At 38.8% G+C, this 8114-nt stretch overlaps 1 annotated feature.

Annotated features, from left to right (window-relative positions):
- Positions 7988-8114: a silencer, noted in NCBI's record as "fragment chr7:44532074-44532200 (GRCh37/hg19 assembly coordinates)". NCBI's record gives its function as "represses an EF-1alpha promoter that drives an FKBP-Casp9 reporter gene in an ReSE screen in HepG2 liver carcinoma cells {active_cell/tissue: HepG2}" and the evidence as "EXISTENCE:reporter gene assay evidence [ECO:0000049][PMID:32094911]".

Raw genomic sequence — 8114 nt, 5'->3', positions numbered from 1 at the left:
AAAGAGCTTTTCTGAGTAGGCTATGATTATCAATATAGCTTTAAATCTGTAATTGGGTTATTGTTCTGCTTTTTCTGCCTGCTTTTGAATTTATTGAGTAGTTTGTATGATTCTACTTTATAACCTTTGTTGGCTTATGTGACCACTCTGTTTTTTTAATTTTTATTTTTAGAGCTTTCTTTACAGTTTATAGATAATCTCTAACTTACCACAGTCTATCTTCAAATAAATTATATAACTTCACATGCAGTATAAAAATCTTACAACTGTATCCTCTCACTTCGTCCCTCTTGGCCTCTGTATTATGGTTATAATACACTTTACTTCTACACATTATAAACCTTAGGATGTCATGTTACTAATTCTTTTGCTTTAAGCAGTCAAGTATATTTTAAAGAGATTTTCAAATTAATAAAAATAGTATTTTATATTTGCTCGCTTAAAAAAACTTTCCAGTGCTCTTTATTTCTTTGTGTAGATCAGAATTTTCATCTGATGTAATTTTCCTTCTCCCTGAAAGACATTTAACTTTTTTTTTCTGTAGTTCAGGTCTACTAGTGATGACTTATTTCAACTTTTGTATGTCTGAGAAAGTCTATTTTTCATTCATTTTGGTAATATATTTTTGCTCAGGGCAGAATTCTAGGTTGACATTTTCTTTAAACATTTTACAGATGTTTCTACATTATCTTTTGACTCACATTGGTTTGAGAGGTCTGCCGTTATTCTTATATAATCCTGTGTACATAATTTACCTTTTTTCTCTGGCTACTTATAAGATTTATCTTTATCAGTGCTTTTAAGCAATTTGACTATTATGTTCCTTGGTGTAGTTTTATTTATGTTTCTTATTATTGGGGGTTCACTGAGCATCTTGGCTCATGGGTTTTTAGTTTTAATAAATTTGGAAAATGTTCAGCCACTGATTCTTCAAATATTTTTTCTGTTCCCCACCCTAGCCTTTAGGAACTCAACTACATGTAAATTAGACAAGATGAAGTTGTCCCACAACTCACTGATGCTCTATTTTTTTTTAAGTCTTTTTTTCTCTCTTTTTCAATTTAGGTGGTTTCTATTGCTATTTTTTCAAGTTCAATAATATTTTATCTATTTCTTTCTCCCTCCCTCCCTCCCTCCCTTCCTTCCTTCCTTCCTTTCTTTTTTTTGAGATGGAGTTTTGCTCTTATTGCCCAGGCTGGAGTGCAATGGCACGATCTCAGCTCACTGCAACCTCTGCCTCAGGTTCAAGCGATTCTCCTGCCTCTGCCTCCTGGATAGCTGGTACTAGAGGGATGTGCCACCACGTGTGGCTAATTTTTGTATTTTTAGTAGAGACGGGGTTTCACCATGTTGGTCAGGCTGGTCTTTAACTCCTGACCTCAAATGATCCACCCACCTTGGCCTCCCAAAGTGGTTGGATTACAGCTGTGAGCCACCGCTCCTGGCTGTACTTCTAATCTGTGGTACATCTCATTTGGTGTATTTTTCAGGTAATACATCATATTTTCACTCCTAAATAATTGATTTCTTTTTTTTTATGTCTTCTCTTTAGTTAACATGCTTGCTATGGTTGAAATGTGTCTCCCAAATTCATGTGCTGGAAATGTAATCCCCGATGAAACAATGTTGGGAGCTAGGGCCTAATAAAAGGTGATTGGATCATGTGGGTAGAGCCCTCACGAATGAATTAATGTTGTTATTACTACAGTGAGTTAGTTACCACAAAAGTGGGTTGTTATAAAGTCAGGCTGGCCCCTGGTGCCTCTATCTTGTGTACTCACTTGCCCTTCTGCCTTTTGCTTTCTGCCAAGGGATGACTAAACAAGAAGGCCCTCAACAGATGCTGGCATCAAGTTCCTGAACTTTCCAGCCTCCAGAACCATGAGCTAAATAAACGCCTGTTATTTATAGATTACCTGGTCTGTGGTATTGTTATGGCAGCAGAAAACGGACTATGATAGAAAATTGGCACTGAGAAGTGGGTCTGTTGCTATAACAAATATCTGAAAATGTAAAAGTAGCTTTGGAACTGGGTAATGGGTAGAGACTGGAAGAACTTTGAGGAGCATGCTAGAAAGAGTCTGGTATAATGCCATAAATGGAACATTAAGGGTGAGGTCTCAGAAGAGAAGAGATACAGGGAAAGTCAGAATCTTCTTAAAGATTACTTCAGTGGTCATGACTGTTGACAGAGATATGGACACAGTCTCTGATGTGGACAGTAAATGGCCTTTACTGTCTATATTTCTACGAACATTAATAGTAAATGGCCTTTACTGTCTATATCTCTACCACCATTAACAGTAAATGGCCTTTACTGGCTATATTTTCTACCAACATTATATTTAATATTGGTAGAGGCCATTCTGATGAGGTCTCAGATGGAAATGAGAAACAAGGTATTGGAAAATTGAATAAAGAGCATCTTTGTTATAAAGTAGTAATAGTGGAACTGTGTCCATGCCTGAGAGCTTCATGGAAAGTGGAATTTGAATGACAAACTAGGATATCTGGTGGAAGAAATACCTAAGCAGTTAAGCATTCAGACTGCTGCATGGCTATTTTAAATCACATATAGTGAGATACAAGAACAAAGGAATGACTTAAAGACAGAATTTATAATTTAAAAAGAAGCAGAGTGAAAGATTTGGAAAATTTATAGCCTGGCCATGTAAAGTATAAAAAGGTACATTTAGGAGAGTGAACTCAGGGTGTGGCCCAGAGACTGCTTGCTGAAGAGATTAGCATGAATAGAAAGGAGCCAGATGCTATTCACCAGTAAGCCTTGGCAATGTCTACATGGTGCTAACTCTGCAGGGATGGGTGCATAGGTGGTGGGGTCACAGTAGCTTCCACTTGGTTTTCAAAAGATATATCAAACAGCTTGAGGCCCAGGAAGAGACTTATTGCAGGGGAAGAGCCACCATAGAGAGTCCCTACTAAGGCAATGCTTAGCAGGAATGTGTGGTCAGAGTTGTTACAGAGAGTTCCCACCAAGGCGATACCTAGTAGAGCCCAGAACTGTAGACCTACCCTTGTGTAACCCCAGCCTGGGAGAGCTGCAGTCATGAGACTCCAAACCAAGAGAAAGCCATGGAGACCTGGCTGCCTGAGGCCTTGGAGGCCCAATCCCCAAACCAGTGTGCCCAGGAACATTACTGGAGAAACAGCTAAAAGCATCTGCCCTCCTGAACCCCATGTGAGAGTCTCAGCTGGGCCAGAAGGGGCCCAGCCCTACACTATCTCCTCTTACTCAGTTTTATGTCTGACCTCTAGAGCTCAGGCAGGCACTTTGCCCTAACATGTCCACTTACTTTTTAGGGGAGGGAACAGGATTGTGGATGATTATCACTTTTTAAAATACATTTTTGGCCAGCGCAGTAGCTCACGCCTGTAATCCTAGCACTTTGGGAGGCCGAGGCGGGCAGATTGCCTGAGCTGGGAGTTTGAGACCAGCCTGGGCAACACGGTGAAACCTCGTCTCTACTAAAATACAAAAGAAATTAGCCAGGCAAGGCAGCGTGCACCTGTAATCCCAGTTACTCAGGAGGCTGAGGCAGAATTGCTTGAATCTGGGAGGCAGAGGTTGCAGTGAGCCGAAATCGCGCCACTGCACTCCAGCCTGGGCGACAGAGGGAGACTCTGTCTCTAAAAAAAAAATAATAATAAATAAAATACAATTTTTAAGAGTACATTTTAAAATAAGTTTTAGATTTCCAAAATAAATTGCAAAGAGACTACAGAGTTCCTGTATAGCTCACATCCAGTTTACCCTATTATTAACTTATTACATTAGTATGGTTCATTTTTCACAATTAATAAATACTGATAATTACTACTAACTAAAGTGCCTACTTTATTTTGACTTCCTTAATTTTTACCTAATGTCCTTTTTCTGTTCCAGGATCCTACCCAGGACCCCACATGATATTTAGTTGTCAGGTCACCTTAGGCTCTTCTTGGTTGTGACAGTTTCTCAGGCTTTCATTGTTTTTGATGACCTTGACAGTTTTGAGGAGTACTTGTTAGGTATTTTGTAGAATGTTCCTCAAATGGGGCTTGTCCAACATTCTTCCCATGATTAGACTAGGGTTATGGGTTTTTGAGAGGAAGACCACAGAGGTAAGGTGTCATTCATAGCATATTAAAGGTGTATACTATCAAACATGACTTATCATTGTTGATGTTGACCTCGATCACCTGGCTGAGGTCATCCTCGTCAGGTTTCTCCCCTTTCCACGCTCTACCATTAGGAAGAGTCACTACATGTATCCTAGACATAAGAAGTAGGGAGTCATGCTCCACCTCCTTGAGGGCAGACTAGCTACATAAATAACTGGGAATTCTTCTGAACAGAAAATGTGTCTATTTTCTTCCATTTCTTTATTCAGTATGAGAAATATCTCTATATATCATATAGGTATGTATATATCAATATATTTATATGTATATCGGTATGGACTCACAGGTATTTGTTTTATATTTTGGGTTCTAATATAATAATACCTTATTTTGCTGCTCAAATTGTTCCAGCTTTGGCCATTGGAAGCGCTTTCCTTTGTCATACCCCCATCATTGTGTGGTTTTTTTTTTCTTTGCACTTCCTTTACTTTGAGACACCACCCACAAGATGCTCCAGGCGCATCTTGTATATTTTCTGTGCCAGTCCTAGAATCAGCCATTTCTCCAAGAAGCCCTGGTTCCTTCTATTGGAGAATATCAGAAACCAAGATCTGGGTGGAAGGTATGCTCGTTGTTACTGAAGCATTGTTGCTTCTAGACCTTCTCAGCTGAGAGCAAGTAAATACATGTATGTACACTCACCTGCATATATACACATTTCTGTAAACAGTTCTACACATAGCCATCTGTATCTATAAGGATGAATTTCTAACTCTGATCTATTACCACATGGATCATTCTAGCCTCCTTCCCCGCTTATTTATAACTCTCTCACTCCACCAGTGAGAAACCTGGATCCCACCACCCTCCACCATTTACTTAATTGCTCATTTCCACTATACATATCTAGCGGTTTCAGAATTGATAACCCATACCCCTGTTAGGAATAATTGTATCAACTAGATTTCAGTGTTTATATACAGTTCCTTTTGTCTTTAGTCTTACAGACTCTGCTCATTTCCAAAGTTACTTAGGACAGCATCTCTTTCTATCATCCCTTCAGTGAGGTTGTTTCATACATCTGTGACACAGTTAGATTGTTTTGTCACATTCTGCAACCCATTCTGGGATCCCCCAATCTCCTAAGTGATTTTTTAAAAGACTGCCTATATTAAGGTTTACTCTTGGTGCTATAAATTTCTATGGGTTTTGACAAATGTGTAGTGTCACGTATCTATCATTATTACTACTAATTATTATTATTAATAATTATTACTATTAATTACTAATTATTACTATTAATTACTAATTACTAATTATTGCTATTATTACTAATAATTACTATTAATAATTATTACTATTAATAATTATTACTATCATTATTCTATGATAGTAATTACTATCATATAGAATAATTTTACATCCTAAAAAATTCCCTGTGCATCATTCAACCTTTTTTTCACACGCAGACCCTGACAACCACTGATCTTTTACTGTTTCTACATTTTGCATTTTTCAGAATGTCATATAATTGGGTGGTAGCATTTTTTGAGTGGTTTCTATCTCTTAGCAATACGCATTTAAGATTAAGCCATATCTTTTTATTGATTGACAGCTTATTCCTTCTTACTGCTGAAAACAGTACTTCATTCTATGAATGTACTACCTTTCGTTTATCCAGTACCTGTTGACGGCACCTGGTTGCTTCCCATTTTTGGCAATTTTGAGTAAAGCTGCAATAAACATTTGCATGTAGATTTCTGTATGGACATAGTTTTCAAATAAGCTGGGTAAATACATAAGAGCATGATTGCTGGACTGTGTTATGACATTATGTTTAGCTTTCCATTCAATTTAAAAGATATTTTGGCCGGGCACGGTGGCTCACGCCTGTAATCCCAGCACTTTGGGAGGCTGAGGCGGGTGGATCACAAGGTCAGGAGATCGAGACCATCCTGTGAATGGTGAAACCCCGTCTCTACTAAAAATTCAAAAAATTAGCCGGGTGTGGTGGCGGGCACCTGTAGTCCCAGCTACTCGGGAGGCTGAGGCGGGAGAATGGCGTGAACCCAGGAGGCGGAGCTTGCAGTGAGCCGAGCTGAGACTGTGCCACTACACCCCAGCCTGGGCGACAGAGCGAGACTCTGTTTCAAAAAAAAAAAAAAGATATTTTATTTACTTTTTGAATAGGTAATGCATGTATATGGTATCAAATACAAAAGTAAGTTTTTCTCCTGTTTTATAGTGTTTCCCTCAATTTCCCTTCTCCAGATGCAGCGTCTGTTCCATTTCTTCCTTTAGGTGCTAAAGAAAATTATTCAAAACTTTGAATATAGCAAGAAGATGACTGCATGTGCTTCCAGTTATACTGAGGAATTATATAACAGGCTCACCCGAGATTCATTAATTCTCTAGGGCAGTGATTCTCAGAGTGTAGTATGTGGCCCTGGGGGGCCTCCAAGGTAAAAATAACAATACTATGATGTTATTTGCTTTTTTACCATGTTGACATTTGCAATGATGGTGCAAAAGCAATGGCAGGTAAAACTGCAAGTGTCTCAGCAGGAATCAAGGCAGGCCATTGTCCTAGCTTCCTGCTGTCACAAAGTACCATAGACTGGGTGGCTTAAACAACACATGTTTATTCTCTCACAGTCTTGGAGGCCAGAAATCCAAGACCAAGGTGTTGGTATCTGGTGAGAATTCTCTTCCTAGCTTGAAGCAATCTCACTGTGTCCTCACATGGCCTTTCTTCTGCATGTGTGCAGAGTGAGATCTCTAGTGTCTCCTTCTCCTCTTATGAGGATACCAGTTCCATTGGGTTAAGGTCCCACCCTTATAACCTCATTTAACCTTTAAGTATCTTTTAAAGGCCCTTCTAACCACCAATGTGACTCCAAATATAGTCCCATTGAGGACTGGGGCTTCAACATATGAATCTGGTGGGGGGCAGGCACATTCAGTCCATAACGGCACCAAACTCGACTAGTATGCACTGCCTTACACTTACAGGTTAAAAATGTTCAGTTTCACTTAAGAATGCTCCTGATAGCATTTAATTATTAATTTTATTAAAAGTTGTTTTATTAAAAGTTCTCCACTTGAGAACAAGTCTTTTTAATAGTGCATGATTAAAAGAGAAGTACACATAAGACATGTCTGCCTCATACTGAAGCAAAATGGTTGCACTGATGCAAAGCACTTGTGTGATTGAGTTGCCAATTGAACAAGTCACAGAGCATCATTTTTACTTGAATGACAGAATGAAGTGAGCCTGTCTCTTCAAGGAAAATAATTGATTGTATCTACTTCCAATAATAAAGTTCAAGTTTTTAAGCTAAAATTAGAATTCAAAAAACCCATATCCCGCTTCCATGAGCTTGAGTGCTTGTCAATAAAGACAGACTTCTCTGATGAGTTTAGTGGTAATTCTAACAAATGTTATTTTTTGATATTATATAATGAAATGATATTAGAAACCAAGATCTGGGGGCAAGATATGCTCGTTGCATAAAACGAGTGAACATTTGGAAGAGCTGCATAACACAGTGGACCAACATTTTCAAATGACTAATTAATACATGATGGTATAAAATCATGCATTTATTAACGATCCATTCAAAGTGAAAGACCAATCGATATTAATGTAACAGAGTATGAAAAGTCTATAGATACAGTTTTAGATTCCATATGGCAAGTAACCTTTAAGAAACTACCAGTTACAGGGCTGGGTGCAGTGGCTCACACCTATAATTCCAGCACTTTGGGAGGCTGAGAGGGGAGGATCGCTTGAGCCCATGAGTTTCAGACCAGCCTGAACAATGTAGGCCCAACCTCGTCTCTATAAAAATAATTTAAAAATTAGCCAGGCACAGTGGCATGTGCTTGTAGTTCCAGCTACTCAGAAGGCTGAGGCAGGAGGATTGCTTGAGTTCAAGAGTTCAAGGCTACAGTTAGTTATGATCACATCGTTACATTCCAGCCTGGGTGAC

The sequence above is a fragment of the Homo sapiens genome, chromosome 7 (assembly GCF_000001405.40).
Source record: "Homo sapiens chromosome 7, GRCh38.p14 Primary Assembly".
NCBI classification, from domain to species: Eukaryota; Metazoa; Chordata; class Mammalia; order Primates; family Hominidae; genus Homo; species Homo sapiens.
The sequence above is the reverse complement of the archived record's forward strand: the minus strand, read 5'-3'. Positions and strand labels throughout refer to the sequence as shown.